General features: G+C 40.3%; 1 protein-coding gene and 1 long non-coding RNA gene across 3 annotated transcripts in view; one reads left to right on the top strand and one right to left on the bottom strand.

Moving 5' to 3' along the window:
* SOX6 (SRY-box transcription factor 6) overlaps positions 1 to 17,334 on the top strand; it is a 772,029-nt gene that overhangs the window by 87,808 nt on the left and 666,887 nt on the right. The window lies entirely within an intron of this gene.
* LOC105376571 (uncharacterized) overlaps positions 1 to 17,334 on the bottom strand; it is a 42,807-nt gene that overhangs the window by 4,941 nt on the left and 20,532 nt on the right. For both annotated transcript variants that reach the window (XR_931086.3, XR_931085.3), the window contains one exon: positions 4,361 to 4,681. This is a non-coding gene — a long non-coding RNA (uncharacterized LOC105376571). The remainder of the gene's footprint in view (positions 1 to 4,360; positions 4,682 to 17,334) is intronic.

Raw genomic sequence — 17,334 nt, 5'->3', positions numbered from 1 at the left:
TTTTGATGTAGGCATTTAATACTATGAACTTTTCTCTTAGCACTGCTTTTGCTGTATACCAGAGGCTTTTTTATGTTATGTCACTATTACCATTCAGCTCAAAGATTTTTAAATTGGTATTTTGATTTCATTGTTGGCCCAAAGATTATTCAAGAGCAGATTATTTAATATCCATGTGTTTGGGTGGTTTTGAGGGTTCCTTTTGGAGTTAATTTCCAGTTTTATTCCACTGTGATCTGAGATGATAGTTGATATAATTTTGATTTTCTTAAATTTACTGAGACTTTTGTGACCTGTCATTTGGTCTATCTTGGAGAATGTTCATGTGCTGAAGAAAAGAATGTGTATCCTGAAGTTGTTGGATTGAATGTTCTGTAAATATCTATGAAGTCCATTTGTTCTAGGATATAGTTTAAGTCCATTATTTGTTGATTTTCTGTGTTGATGACCGGTCTACTGCTGTCAGTGGAGTATTGAAGTCCCCCACTATTAGTGTGTTGCTGTCTGTCTCATTTCTTAGGTTTAGTAGTAATTGTTTTATAAATTTGGGAGCTCTAGTGTTAGGTGCATATGTATTTAGGCTTGTGATATTTTCCTGTTGGACTATTTTTTATCATTATATAATGTCCCTCTTTGTCTTTTTATACTGTTGTTGCTTTAAAGCCTATTTTGTCTGGTATAAAAGTAGCTACTCTTGCTCACTTTTGGTTTTCATTTGCATGGAATATCCTTTTTTACCCCTTTACCTTTCGGTTATGTGAGTCCTTATGTGTTGGGTGAGTCTCTTGAAGACAGCAGGTACTTGATTGGTGGATTTTTATCGATTCTGCTATTTGCTATTCCATACCTTTTAAGTGGAACATTTAGGCCATTTACCTTCAACATTAGTATTGAGATGTTATGTACTGTTCTATTCATCACGTTAATTGTTGCCTTAAAACCTTTTTTTTTTCTGTTGTGTTATTGCTTTTTAGATCCTGTGAAATTTATGCTTTAAGGAAGTTCTGTTTTGGTGTATTTTGAGGTTCTTTTTCTTCAAGATTTAGAACTCCTTTTGGGATTTCTTGTAGTGCTGGCTTAGTAGTGGCAAATTCTCTCAGCATTTGTTTGTCTGAAGAAGGCTTTATCTCATCTTCATTCATGAAGCTTAGTTTTGCTGGATACAAAATTCTTGGTTGACAATTATTTTGTCTCAGGAGGCTAAATGTGGGACCTCAATTCTTTCTGGCTTTGTAAGGTTTCTGCTGAGAAGTCTTCTGTTAATCTGATAGGTTTTCCTCTGTAGTCCACCTGATGCTTTTGTCTGACAGCTCTTAAGATCGTTTTGTCTGTCTTGACTTTAGATAGTCTGATGAATATATGCCTAGGTGATGATCTTTCTGCAATGAATTTCCCAGGTGTTCTTTGAGCTTTTTGTGTTTGGATGTCTAGATTGCTAGCAGGGCCAGGGAAGTTTTCCTCAATTATTCCCTCAAATAAGTTTTCCAAACTTCTAGATTTATTTTCTTCTCCAGGAATACCAATTATTCTTAGGTTTGGTCATTTAAGATAATCCCAAATATTTTGGAGGCTTTGTTCTTTTTTTTTCCTTCTTTTTTCTTTGTCTCCGTCTGATTGGGTTAATTCAAAAGTCTTGTCTTTGAGCTCTGAAGTTCTTTCTTCTACTTGTTCTAGTCTATTGTTGAAACTTTCCAGGCATTTTGTATTTCTCTAAGTGTGTCTTTCATTTCCAGAAGTTGTGATTATTTTTTCTTTTTGATATCTATTTCTCTGGAGAATTTTTCATCCATATTCTGTATTTTTTAAATATAATTTTTAAGTTTGTTTTCACCTTTCTTTGGTATCTCCTTGAGTAGCTTAGTAATCAACCTTCTGAATTCTTTATTTGGCAATTCAGAGATTTCTTCTTGGTTTGGATTTATTGCTGGGGATCTTTTGGGGGTGGTATAGAACCCTATTTTGTCATATTACCAGAAGTACTTTTCTAGTTCCTTCTCATTTGGGTAGACTATTTCAGGATGTTATAGGCAGTGGAATTGGTATTATCTTCTTCCTGGGATCAGGGTTATTCTGTAATGAGTTGTTGTAATGGCCTGAGCTGGTTGGCCTCCAGCCAGAAGGTGGCAGTTTCAAGAGAACACTAGCTGCTGTAGTGGTAGGGGGCTCTAAGCTTGCCCTAACATGTCCAGGGTAAGTATTTTGGTTTCTCAGGTGATGGGCTCCCAGGAGTTTCTGTTTTGTGTTTGGCTACCAGGGTGGGTAGGGAAATACCATCAGGTGGGGGCAGGATTAGGTGGGTCTGGGCTCAGACTCTCCTTGGGTGGGGCCTGCCATGGCCACTGTGAGGGTTGGGGGGTGATTCTCTGGTAAATGGGGTTATGTTCTAGAGGGAATTATGGCTGCCTTTGCTGTGTCCAGGCAAGTGGGGGATAGTGGTAGCAAGTGGCCTCAGCTAGCTCCCACATAGTTGGAAAGGCTAGTCTTGCTCCATGGTGCCATGCTGAAACCTTACCCCAGGCCATGAGCTACCCTGCTAAGAAACAACCTGGCTTTCAGACCTCACCCTTTCCAGTCTGCCTACTCTGTCTGCAGCAGCTCCTACACTCCTGCACTCACTCATATCCACAGCCACTCCCACTCGTCCCTCAGACTCTGCTCAAGAAAATTTGTGCCCAGTTGAACCTACTACCAATTTCAGTTGGAAACTTCCTTCACCCTGTGAGCCCCTCCCCCACAATTCCACTGGCTGCCTTCCCCAAGGGTCCCTGTAAGATATAGTCAGGGATGGCTTCCCTGGGCTCAAGCTGGGGATTGGGAGTGCATGCAAGGCACTTCCTGCTGCTACTTCTATTTTTATATTTTTCATGACTTCCTGAATCCATTTTATCTCTAGATAAGGTTAAGTCCTTCTCCTGTGATTTGAATTTTAAGAGTCCCCAGTGGGGATGTGGGTTCAGAGGTAGGTCCCCTGTCTCACACTTTGGGAACTCACAGTTTTCCACCTGTTTCATGGAACTTACAGCAGCATGTCACTTCTTTCAAAGAGTCTGTGAATTCTTTTGGTTTTTCTAGTACATTTCTTCTGTGGTTCTTGGAGCAAAAGATCAGGGTGTGAGTCTCCACACACTGTTTTGTTTGTCCATGTGGGAGCTGCACGTTAGCCCTGTCTCCTATATGCCATCTTTCCCGCTTCTCCAGAAGTTGCCTTTTATTGGGTAAAGCATGACAAGGATCATGCTATTTAAGGAGGGGGATATATATACTGAATACCTTTAGATATTTTTGTAATATTTATAGTCAAGTATATTAAACAACATTAAGGGTAACCATTAAATAAATGGACATACTATCTATAGCATTCAAATTAGCAGAGAGGGAAAGGGGGAGGGGCATAGAAATCATATCAGTCTCAAGAAGATAGGAAAGGAGGATAAAACTAAAGAGCTTCTGCACAGCAAAAGGAACAGGGAGCAGAGTAAACAGACAATTCACAGAGTGGGTGAAAAGCCTCACAATCTATACATCTGACAAAGGACTAATATCCACAAATGCAAATCAAAACCACAATGCAATACTACCTTACTTCTGCAAGAATGACTATAATCAAAAATAAAAAAATAATAAATGTTGGTGTGGATGCAGTGAGAAGGGAACACTTATACACTGCTGCTGGGAATGTAAACTAGTACAACTACTATGGAAAACAGTGTGGAGGTTCCTTAAAGAAGTAAAGGTAGAACTACCATTTCGTCCAGCAATCCCACTACTGGGTATCTGCCCAGAGAAAAATAAGTCATTATACAAAAAAGATACTTGCACATGCATGTTTATAGCAGCATGATTGGCAATTGCAAAAATCTGGAACCAGCCAAATGCCCATTCACAGCAACCTGGATGGAACTGGAGACTATTATTCTAAGTGAAGTAACTGAGGAATGGAAAACCAAACATCATATGTTCTCATTCATAAGTGGGAGCTAAGCTATGAGGATGCAAAGGCATAAGAATTATACAATGGGCTGTGGGACTCAGGGGAAAGGGTGGGAGTGAGTCAGGGATAAAAGACTACAAATTGGGTTCAGTGTATACTCCTCAGATGATGGGTACACCAGAATCTCACAAATCACCATTAAAGAACTTACTCAAGTAACCAAATACCACATGTTCCCCAAAAACCTATGGAAATAAAAAAAAAAAACAAAGAAAATAAAAAAACTTACGAAAGGATGATAAACCTAAGACACAAAATTAGATGATATAAATAGCAACACATATGAGTAATCACAGTAAATATAAATAGAATAAACACAACATATTATATTAGTTGTTATTTATACCTTTCTCACCTTCCCACACTTACCTGAAGGCCAGTGCTTCTCTTCGCCATTGACTTAGAGCTTTGCCACAAGTCTGTGTGTCTTTGTTTTGCCAGTAGAGTTTATGGGGATGTATCCAATGCCACATCTGAGCAGAGGCTTTAAATATGTTTGTGTGATTTGTCTTGAACTCTTGTGCTTTTTCTCTCTGTCATAAAAACACCTTGTCCCAGGTGAGGCTGTTAATTCAGCCTGGAACCCAGAATGAAAAGGTACTTGGAGAACATCTGAACATGACCTCAAGTCTGAAGCTGAGCCCAGCCAAGTCCAGTAGAGCCCAACAGAGTCACAGCCAACACACAGATCTGTGAGAATAAGATAACATTTATTTTTTTAAGCCATTGAGTTTGTTTTTTTTTTAAATAAATTCAGCTTTACTGTAACACTTGTTCACTAAGTATATTTGTTTTCTAGGGCTGCTGTAACAAAGTACCACAAACTGGATGGTTTAAAACAACAGAATTTTATTCTCACAGTTCTAGAGACCAGAGGTCTGAAATCAAGGTGTTAGAGGGCCAGTCTCCACCTGAAACCTGGTGGAATCCTTCCTTGCCTCTTCTTAGCTTCTGCTGGTTTGTTAGAAATCTTTGGTGTTTCTTGGCTTGCAGCTGCATAATTCCCAATCTCTGCCTTTGTTGCCATATGGCATTCTCTCTGTATGTCTGTGTTCTCATGTGGCCATTTTGTTATGAGAACACTAGTCATATTGGATTAAGGACCCACCCTGCTCTGGTATGACATCATCTTAACTCATTACATCTGCAATCACCCTGTTTCCAAATAAGGTCATATTCTGAGGTCTTTATGTTTAGCCTTCAACAGATTTTTTTCAGTGGGGGGACAACAATTCAACCCATAACACTAATACATAAATTGATATCTAGAAATTGGATGTTCATGTAATAAAAACCCGAAATATGTGGTGACCAAGATGCAGGTGGTAAAAAACTATTCTAGGAACCTGTAAACATGGACATGTTTTGTAGTGGTGAAACAACGGGTAAAGCAGAAAATATACCAAGTGAACTTGCGATTTGTGCAAAGAGATTTGGAGACAGTATGTTGCCAGCTTGAATTGGTTGTTATTAGTGGCATTTGATAAAATACAGAAAAAAAATTTGATTGAAAGCTGGGATGAAAAGGAAAACAGAATCCAGGAAATCTGTGATTGTAAGGATGACGAATGAATATTTCTCATGTCCAACCAATTAAATGTGTTGAGAAATATTCCCGATACATGAAGGCTGAAAGAGCCCCAAATTAAGATACATCCTTAGGGAAAAGACGTAATTAAAAGTAGTATATCAATCACATCTTTTGTTAAACCCTCTGATTGGATTAAAATGGTCTCTAGGAAATACATTCAGCTACAGTATACTCCTCTGCCCCCATTGACTTTATCCTAGACAATGTGACAAAATTTTGCCAATGAAAAGTGAGCAGGCATATTGTGGGCTGATAGACCAAGTGAATAAAATTTAGAAAGCATATAAAAGATTTGAACAATACAATTAACAAGTTTGATCTATAGATACTATGGACTCCTACACCCAACAAACAGAGAATATATAGTCTTTTCAAGTATCTGTGGAGTTTTCAAGACAATTGATTATATAATATTACAAAAATTTCAGAGAATATTATACACAGTAGAATTAACACAGTGTCATTAACTTATGAGTCAATAATAGTTTAAATCTCTACCCCCCCAATAACCTTGGAATGAAATGAATGCACTTGTCAATAATTCATGAAATAAAAAAGAAATTTTAATAGGAATTACAGATATGAACATCAGTGAAGATACATGTGGTAGAGACTGCTGCAAAAATTTTCCTGTTTATTGTAATAGGGCTATAATAGGGTTGTCTCACCAAAGACTAAATTTTCAGCCTACTTTGTTGCTAGGTGTGGTTATATAACTTGATTTATATCAAAAGATTGTGACTGGAAATGGGCCAGGTATGGTGGGTGATATGTAATCCCAGCACTTTGAGAGGCTGAGGCAGGCGGATATCTTGAGCTCTGGAGTTTGAGACCAGCATGGGCAACAAGGTGAAACCCTGTGTCTATAAAAAATAGAAAAATTAGCAGGTGTGGTGGCACATGCTGGGGGTCCCAGCTACTTGGGAGGCCGAGGTGGGAGGATTGCTTGAGCCTGGGAGGTTGAGGCTGCAGTGAGCCATGATTGTACCATTGCACTCCAGCCTGGGTGACAGAATGAGACCCTATGTCAGTGGTGGTTCCAAGATGGCCGAATAGGAACAGCTCCAGTCTACAGCTCCCAGCATGAGCGATGCAGAAGATGGATGATTTCTGCATTTCCAACTGAGGTACTGGGTTCATCTCACTGGGGAGTGTCAGACAGTGGGTGCAGGACAGTGGGTGCAGTGCACCGAGTGTGAGCTGAAGCAGGGCAAGGCATTGCCTCACCCAGGAAGTGCAAGGGTTCAGGAAATTCCCTTTCCTAGCCAAGGGCTAGACAGATGGCACCTGGAAAATCAGGTCACTCCCACCCTAATACTGCTCTTTTCCAACGGTCTTAGCAAACGGCACACCAGGAGATTATATTCTGCGCCTGGCTCGGAGGGTCCTATGCCCATGGAGCCTCACTCATTGCTAGCACAGCAGTCTGAGATCAAACTGCAAGGTGGCAGCGAGGCTGGGGGAGGGGTGCCTGCCATTGCTGAGGCTTGAGTAGGTAAACAAAGCGGCTGGGAAGCTTGAACTGGGTGGAACCCACCACAGGTCAAGGAGGCCTGCCTGCCTCTGTAGACTCCACCTCTGGGGGCAGGGCATAGCCAAACAAAAGGCAGCAGAAACCTCTGCAGACTTAAATGTCCCTGTCTGGCAGCTTGGAAGACAGTGGTGGTTCTCCCAGCACACAGCTTGAGATCTGAGAATGGACAGACTGCCTCCTCAAGTGGGTCCCTGACCCCTGAGTAGCCTAACTGGGAGGCACCCCCCAGTAGGGGCAGACTGACACCTCACATGGCTGGGTACCCCTCTGAGACAAAACTTCCAGAGGAAGGATCAGGCAGCAACATTTGCTGTTCACCAATCTTCGCTGTTCTGCAGCCTCCGCTGCTGACACCCAGGCCAACAGGGTCTGGAGTGGACCTCCAGCAAACCCCAACAGACCTGCAGCTGAGGATCCTGACTGTTAGAAGGAAAACTAACAAACAGAAAGGACATCCACACCAAAACCCCATCTGTACGTCACCATCATCAAAGACCAAAGGTAGATAAAACCACAACGATGGGGAAAAAACAGAGCAGAAAAACTGAAACTTCTAAAAATCAGAGCACCTCTTCTCCTCCAAAGGAACGCACCTCCTCACCAGCAATGGAACAAAGCTGGACAGAGAATGACTTTGATGAGTTCAGAGAAGAAGGCTTCAGACGATCAAACTTCTCTGAGCTAAAGGAGGAAGTTCGAACCCATGGCAAAGAAGTTAAAAACCTTGAAAAAAGATTAGATGAATGGCTAACTAGAATAACCAATGTAGAGAAGCCCTTAAAGGACCTGATAGAGCTGAAAACCATGGCATGAGAACTATGTGACAAATGCACATGCTTCAATAGCCAATTCAATCAACTGGAAGAAAGGGTATCAGTGATGGAAGATCAAAAGAATGAAATGAAGCGAGAAGAGAAATTTAGAGAAAAAAGACTAAAAAGAAATGAACAAAGCCTCCAAGAAATATGGGCTATGTGAAAAGACCAAATCTACGTCTGATTGGTGTACCTGAAAGTGACGGGGAGAATGGAACCAAGTTGGAAAACACTGCAGGATATTATCCACGAGAACGTCTCCAATCTAGCAAGGCAGGCCAACATTCAAATTCAGGAAATACAGAGAACACCACAAAGATACTCCTCAAGAAGAGCAACTCCAAGACACATAATTGTCAGATTCACCAAAGTTGAAATGAAGGAAAAAATGTTAAGGGCAGCCACAGAGAAAGGCTGGGTTACCCTGGGTTACCCACAAAGGGAAGTCCATCAGACTAACAGCAGGTCTCTCGGCAGAAGCTCTACAAGCCAGAAGAGAGTGGGGGCCAATATTCAACATTCTTAAAGAAAAGAATTTTCAACCCAGAATTTCATATCCAGCCAAACTAAGCTTCATAAGTGAAAGAGAAATAAAATACTTTACAGACAAGCAAATGCTGAGAGATTTTGTCACCACCAGGCCTGCCCTAAAAGAGCTCCTGAAGGAAGCACTAAACATGGAAAGGAACAACCAGTACCAGCCACTGCAAAAACATGCTAAATTGTAAAGACCATCGAGGCTAGGAAGAAACTGCATCAACTAACGAGCAAAATAACCAGCTAACATCATAATGTCAGGAACAAATTCACACATAACAATATTAACCTTAAGTGTAAATGGGCTAAATGCTCCAATTAAAAGACACAGACTGGCAAATTGGATAAAGAGTCAAGACCCATCAGTGTGCTGTATTCAGGAAACCCATCTCATGTGCAGAGACACACATAGGCTCAAAATAAAGGGATGGAGGAAGATGTACCAAGCAAATGGAAAACAAAAAAAGGCAGGGGTTGCAATCTTAGTCTCTGATAAAACAGACTTTAAACCAACAAAGATCAAAAGAGACAAAGAAGGCCATTACATAATGGTAAAGGGACCAATTCAACAAGAAGAGCTAACTATCCTAAGTATATATGCACCCAATACAGGAGCACCCAGATTCATAAAGCAAGTCCTTAGAGACCTATAAAGAGACTTAGACTCCCACACAATAATAACGAGAGACTTTAACACCCCACTGTCAACATTAGACAGATCAATGAGACAGAAAGTTAACAAGGATATCCAGGAATTGAACTCAGCTCTGCACCAAGTGGACCTAATAGACATCTACAGAACTCTCCACCCCAAATCAACATATACATTCTTCTCAGCACCACACCGCACTTATTCCAAAACTGACCACATAGTTGGAAGTAAAGCACTCCTCGGCAAATGCAAAAGAACAGAAATTAAAACAAACTGTCTCTCAGACCACAGTGCAATCAAACTAGAACTCAGGATTAAGAAACTCACTCAAAACTGCTTAACTACATGGAAACTGAACACCTGCTCCTGAATGACTACTGGGTACATAACGAAATGAAGGCAGAAATAAAGATATTCTTCGAAACCAACAAGAACAAAGACACAGCATACCAGAATCTCTGGGACACATTTAAAGCAGTGTGTAGAGGGAAATTTATAGCACTAAATGCCCACAAGAGAAAGCAGGAAAGATCTAAAATGGACAACCTAACATCACACTTAAAAGAACTAGAGAAGCAAGAACAAACAAATTCAAAAGCTAGCAGAAGGCAAGAAATAACTAAGATCAGAGAAGAGCTGAAGGAGATAGAGACACAAAAAACCCTTAAAAAATCAATGAATCCAGGAGCTGATTTTTTGAAAAGATCAACAAAATTGATATACCACTAGCCAGACTAATAAAGAAGAAAAGAGAGAAGAATTAAATAGATGTAATAAAAAATGATAAAGAGAATATCACCACCGATCCCACAGAAATACAAACTACCATCAGAGAATACTATAAACACCTCTACGCAAATTAACTAGAAAATCTAGAAGAAATGGATAAATTCCTCGACACATACGCCCTCCCAAGACTAAACCAGGAAGAAGTTGAATCTCTGACTAGACCAATAACAGGATCTGAAATTGAGGCTATAATTAATAGCTTACCAACCAAAAAAAGTCCAGGACCAGATGGATTCACAGCTGAATTCTACCAGAGGTACAAGGAGGAGCTGGTACCATTCCTTCTGAAACTATTCCAATCAATAGAAAAAGAGGGAATCCTCCCTAACTCATTTTATAAGGCCAGCGTCATCCTGATAGCAAAGCCTGGCAGAGACACAACAAAAAAAGAGAATTTTAGACCAATATCCCTGATGAACATCGATGCAAAAATCCTCAGTAAAATACTGGCAAACCGAATCCAGCAGCACATCAAAAAGCTTATCCACCATGATCCAGTGGGCTTTATCCCTGGGATGCAAGGCTGGTTCAAAATACGCAAATCAATAAATGTAATCCAGCGTATAAACAGAACCAAAGACAAAAACCACATGATAATCTCTATAGATGCAGAAAAGGCCTTTGACAAAATTCAACAGCCCTTCATACTAAAAACTCTCAATAAATTAGGTATTGATGGGACGTATCTCAAAATAATAAGAGCTATTTATGACAAACCCACAGCCAGTATCACACTGAATGGGCAAAAACTGGAAGCATTCCCTTTGAAAACTGGCACAAGACAGGGATGCCCTCTCTCACCACTCCTATTCAACATAGTGTTGGAAGTTCTGGCCAGGGCAATCAGGCAGGAGAAGGAAATAAAGGGTATTCAATTAGGAAAAGAGGAAGTCAAATTGTCCCTGTTTGCAGATGACATGATTGTATATCTAGAAAACCCTATCGTCTCAGCCCAAAATCTCCTTAAGCTGATAAGCAACTTCAGCAAAGTCTCAGGATACAAAATCAATGTGCAAAAATCATAAGCATACACCAATAAAAGACAAACAGAAAGCCAAATCATGAGTGAACACCCATTCACAATTGCTTCAAAGAGAATAAAATACCTAGGAATCCAACTTAAAACGGATGTGAAGGACCTCTTCAAGGAGAACTACAAATTACTGCTCAACGAAATAAAAGAGGATACAAACAACTGGAAGAACACTCCATGCTCATGGGTAGGAAGAATCAATATCGTGAAAATGGCCATACTGCCCAAGGTAATTTATAGATTCAATGCCATCCCCATCAAGCTACCAACGACTTTCTTCACAGAATTGGAAAAAACTACTTTAAAGTTCGTAAGGAACCAAAAAAGATCCCGCATTGCCAAGTCAATCCTAAGCCAAAAGAACAAAGCTAGAGGCATCATGCTACCTGACTTCAAACTATACTACAAGGCTACAGTAACTAAAACATCATGGTACTGGTACCAAAACAGAGATATATACCAATGGAACAGAACAGAGCCCTCAGAAATAATGCCACACATCTACAACTATCTGATCTTTGACAAACCTGACAAAAACAAGAAATGGGGAAAGGATTCCCTATTTAACAAATGGTGCTGGGAAAACTGGCTAGCCATATGTAGAAAGCTGAAACTGGATCCCTTCCTTACACCTTATACAAAAATTAAGATGGATTAAAGACTTAAATGTTAGACCTAAAACCATAAAAACCCTAGAAGAAAACGTAGGCAATACCATTCAGGATGTAGGCATGGGCAAGGACTTCATGTCTAAAACACCAAAAGCAATGGCAACAAAAGCCAAAATTGACAAATGGGATCTAATTAAACTAAAGAGCTTCTGCACAGGAAAAGAAACTACCATCAGAGTGAACAGGTAACCTACAGAATGGGAGAAAATTTTTGCAATCTACTCATCTGACAAAGGGCTAATATCAAGAATCTACAAAGAACTTAAACAAATTTATAAGAAAAAAACAAACAACCTCATCAACAAGTGGGTGAAAGATATGAACAGACACTTCTCAAAAGAAGACATTTATGCAGCCAAAAGACACATGAAAAAATGCTCATCATCACTGGCCATCAGAGAAATGCATATCAAACCCACAATGAGATACCATCTCAGACCAGTTAGAATGGTGATCATTAAAAAGTCAGGAAACAACAGGTGCTGGAGAGGATGTGGAGAAATAGGAACACTTTTACCCTGTTGGTGGGACTGTAAACTAGCTCAATCATTGTGGAAGTCAGTGTGGTGATTCCTCAGGGATCTAGAACTAGAAATACCATTTGACCCAGCCATCCCATTACTGGGTATAATCCTTTGGTATATACCCAAAGGATTATAAATCATGCTGCTATAAAGACACATGCACACATATGTTTATTGCGGCACTATTCACAGTAGCAAAGAATTGGAACCAACCCAAATGTCCAACAATGATAGACTGGATTAAGAAAATGTGGCACATATACACCATGGAATACTATGCAGCCATAAAAAATGATGAGTTCATGTCCTTTGTAGGGAGATGGGTGAAGCTGGAAACCATCATTCTCAGCAAACTATCGCAAGGACAAAAAACCAAACACCGCATGTTCTCAGTTATAGGTGGGAATTGAACAATGAGAACACTTGGACACAGGAAGGGGAACATCACACACCAGGGCCTGTTGAGGGGTGGGGGGAGGGATAGCATTAGGAGATATACCTAATGTAAATGACGATTTAATGGGTGCAGCACACCAACATGGCACATGTATACATATGCAAGAAACCTGCACATTGTGCACATGTACCCTAGAACTTAAAGTATAAAAAAAAAAAAAAAGAATGAGACCCTATGTCCAAAAAAATGTGAATGGAAAAAACATTTTTCCTTCCAGGCCTTGCCTATAAAACGTTGCACACATATTCCTGCACACTGTACCTTTCCCTGCTTGCTGGAATGATGGTGACCAAAGCGACCTTGAGAAATATATTTTAAGGATGGCCAAGGCTTCATTAGCTTAGGATCCAGACATATCCGTGACCTTGGAATACCCACCCTCATTCTTAGATGAGAAGGAAATAAGGCATCTTATTCGATCCATTGTCTATTGCATTCTGTTTATTATAGTAGTTCAATCATTTACCCTAATCAACATCCAGTGTTTTTGGGATCTAACTAAAGCAGTTATTTGGGGAAATTTATAGTTTAATAAATTTATTTTGAAACTATTGAAAAGCTGGGTGTGGTGGCTCATGCCTGTAATCCCAGCACTTTGGGAGGCTGAGGCGGGCAGATCTCAAGGTCAGGAGTTCAAGACCAGCCTGGCCAACATGGTGAAACCCCATCTCTACCAAAAATACAAAAATTAGCTGGGCATGGTAGTGCACGCCTGTAGTCCCAGGTACTCAGGAGGCTGAGGCAGGAGAATCGTTGGAACCCAGCAGGTGGAGGGTGCAGTGAGCTGAGATCACACCACTGCACTCCAGCCTGGGCGATAGAGCAAGACTGCATCTCAAAATAAAAAGATAAGTATTTGGCTGAAGAAGCTGGAATAAGAAGAATAGTAAATCTAAAAAAGAACTTGAAATAAATTAAGAATATAAATGAATGGGAAAGTAAGGAAGAAACAGTAGAGATCAAGAATCCAAAAGCTTGTTGTTTCAAAAAAAAATAGGCCAATTTCTAGAGAGACTAATCAACAACAAAAATAATGAAGACACCATTAAACACTAGCAGAGGAAAAGGGGACATAATTAGTCTATTATTCTGTTCTCAGGCTGCTATAGGGACATACCCAAGACTGGGCAATTTATAAAGGAAAGAGGTTTAATTGACTCAAAGTTCTGTGGAGCTGGGTAGGCCTCAGGAAACTTACACTCATGGCAGAAGGGGAAGCAAACATGTCCTTCTTCACATGGCAGCAGCAAGGATGTGCAGAATGAAGGGTGGGAAAACTCCCTTATAAAACCATCAGATCATGTGAGAATTCACTATCATGAGAACATCATGGAGGCAACTGCCCCCATGATTCAATTGCCTCCCACCAGGTCCCTCCCACAACAAATGGGGATTATGGGAACTACAGTTTAAGATGAAATTTGGGGTAGGGGGACAGAGCCAATCCATATCATTTTGCCCCGGGCCCTCCCATATCTCATGTCCTCACATTTCAAAATACAATCATGCCTTCCCAACAGTCCCCCAAAATCTTAACTCATTCCAGCATTAACTCAAAAGTCCAAGTCCAAAGTCTTATTTGAGACAAGGCAAGTCCCTTCTACCTATGAGCCTGTAAAATCAAAAGCAAGTTACTTACTTCCTAGATGCAATGAGGGTACAGGCAGTGGGTAAATACAGCCATTCCTAATGGGAGAAATTGACCAAAACGAAGAGGCTACAGGCACCATGCAAGTCTGAAATCCGGTGGGACAGTCAAATCTTAAAGCTCCAAAATGATCTCTTTTGACTCCATGCCTCACATCCAGGTATTGCTGATGTAAGAGGTGGACTTCCATGACCTTGGGCAGCTCTGACCCTGTAGCTTTGCAGGGCACAGCCCCCCTCCCAGCTGCTTTCATGACTGGTATTGAATGTCTGTGGGTTTTCTAGGAGTATGGTGCAAGCTGTCAGTGGGTTTACCATTCTGAAGTCTGGAGGATGGTGGCCTTCCTCTCACAGCACCACTAGGCAGTGCCCCATTGGGGACTCTGTGTGGGGGCTCTGACCCCACATTTCCCTTCTGCGCTGCCCTAGCAGAGGCTCTCCATGAGGGCTCCACCCCAGGACCACACCTCTGCTTGGACATCTAGCCATTTCTATACATTTTCTGAAATCTAGACAGAGGTTCCCAAACCTCAATTCTTGTTTCTGCACACCCACAGGACCAACACCATGTGGAAGCTTCCAAGGCTTGGGGCTTGCATGCTCTGAAGCAATGGCCTGAACTCCTTTTAGCCACAGCTGGAGTGGCTGGGATTCAGGACACCAAGTCCAGAGGCTGCACACAAGAGGGGGGCCCTGGACCTCACCCAGGAAACCATTTTTCCCTCCTAGGCTTCTGGGCCTGTGATGGGAGGGGCAGCTGTGAAGTGTCTGATTTTCTGCATTGTCTTGGTGATTAGCATTTGGCTCCTTCTTACTTATGCAGATTTCTGTAGCTGGCTTGAATTTCTCCCCCAGAAAACAGGTCTTTGTTTTCTACTGCATCATCAGACTGCATATTTTCCACACTTTAATGCTCTGTCACCCTGAATGCTTTGTGGCTTAAAAATTTCTTCTGCCGGATACACTAAGTCATCTCTCTCAAGTCCAAAGTTCCACAGATCTCTATGGCAGGGGCAAAATGCCACCACTCTGTCTTTGCACAGCAAGAGTTACCTTTGCTCCAGTTCCCAACAAGTTCCTCATCTCCATCTGAGGCCACCTCAGCCTGGACTTTATTGTCCATATCACTATCAGCATTTTGGTCAAAGCCATTCAACAAGTCTCTAGGAACCTCCAGAGTTTCTCACATTTTCCTATCTTCTTCTGAACCCTCGAAATTGTTCTAACCTCTGCCTGTTACCCAGTTTCGAAGTTGCTTCCACGTTTTTGAGTATCTTTACAGCAGTGCCCCACTACCTGGTACCAATTTACTGTATTAGTCCATTCTCACGGTGCTATAAGGACATACCCAAGACTGGGTAATTTATAAAGGAAAAATGTTTAATTGACTCACAGTTCTGCAGGGCAGAGGAGGCCTCAGGAAACTAACAATCATGTCAGAAGGGGAAGCAAACATCTTCTTTTTCACATGGTTGCAGCAAGGAGAAGTGCAGAGTGAAGGGTGGGAAAAAACCCTTATAAAACCATCAGAACTCGTGAGAACTCACTGACTATTATGAGAACAGCATGGAGGTAACTGCCCCCGTGATTCGATTACCCCTCACTGGGTCCCTCCCACGACACATGGGGATTATGGGAACTACAGTTCAAGATCAGATTTGGGTGGAGATACAGCCAAACCATATCAATTAGAGATAAAATAGAAAAATTTAAACATTACAATGGAAAACTAAAAATAATTTGAAAAGTTAGATAAAATAGAAATTTTCTAGAAAAATGTAAGCTACTAAATTTACTGAAACATAAAAAACCTTAATAATCAGTACCCACTAAATCAATAGACTTGATTAAATAAAACCTAGTAAGCTACATTCAAATAATACAATAAATTAAAATAAATTCTAAGCTCAGTTTTATATGTGAGGAACAAATAATTTCTATTTTTCACCAAATTTGAGAATCTTTTGACCATTATTTTATCAAATATTCTTATTTCCCCATTCTCTCTTTCTCCTCTTTCTGAGACTCCAGCTTTCATGTTGGATCTTTTGATATTGCCATGCAAATTCCTAAGGCACTGTTTTTTTTTTCTTCCATTTTTTTCTTCTCTTTTCTTCTAATTGCTTTTATTGATCTACAAATTCACAGACTTTTCCCTCCATCACCTTTATTTTACTATGTTCATATAATGAACTTTATGTTAGATTTTTTATTTTCCAGTCCTAAGTTTCTCTTTTTTCCTTTTGTATTTCCTATTTCTCTGCTTAGATTTGCTACTTTTTCATTGATTATGAACATATTTTCTTTTATTTCATTAAGCATATTTATAATAGCAGCTTTAAAGTTCTTGTCTGATAATTTCAGCATCTGGTTCATTTTGGGATTGGTGTTTGTTGATCATCTTTTCTCTAGAAAATGAATCACATTTTCCTGATTCTTCATGTCAAGAAATTGTAGATTGAATCTTGATCATTATGATATCATGTTGCTTAGCTTTTAGATTATTTTATAGTCCTACAAATGAAGCTGATGTTTTTATTTTATAAGGCAATTAGCTTGGTTAGATTTAAACTGAGAAGTTTCTCTTGCCTTTGATTGGGAACAGCTCAACTGTCATTTCTGGTTGATTTTAGTCGGCCCCATATATGCCAGAGACTTAGGCAAGAGTTATATATGGAATTTGGAGTTCCTGTTCCCTGACAGTCTCCTATTCAGGATTCTTTCCTTACTCTCTGGTGGCCCTGATTACCTTGACTCTTTCCCTTGCTTTTCCCAGCTATAAAGACACTGTGCTTTCTATTGAAGTTTTAGCTGTTCCATGCTGCTCTGGGTCTGTGGCTGCCTTCAAGACAAAGCCACACAAAGTGGGAAACTCACTTACACCCACAGCTTCTTTCAAGTTTCAACTCTGCTTTTATTTATTCTTCAGAGCTCTCAGGTAGTTGTTTTTTGCATTTTGTCAGAATTTATAGTTGTTTTCTGTGGAAGGTTAAGGTCCTGTTACGAGTTTACTTCCCCATACTGGAAGTGGCAGTAATTCTGATTTTAAACTGTTTCAGAGAATATATAAAGAGAGGAACATACATCCAGAAA

The sequence above is a fragment of the Homo sapiens genome, chromosome 11, assembly GCF_000001405.40.
Source record: "Homo sapiens chromosome 11, GRCh38.p14 Primary Assembly".
NCBI lineage: Eukaryota > Metazoa > Chordata > Mammalia > Primates > Hominidae > Homo > Homo sapiens.
This window is presented reverse-complemented; position numbering and strand designations above follow the sequence as displayed.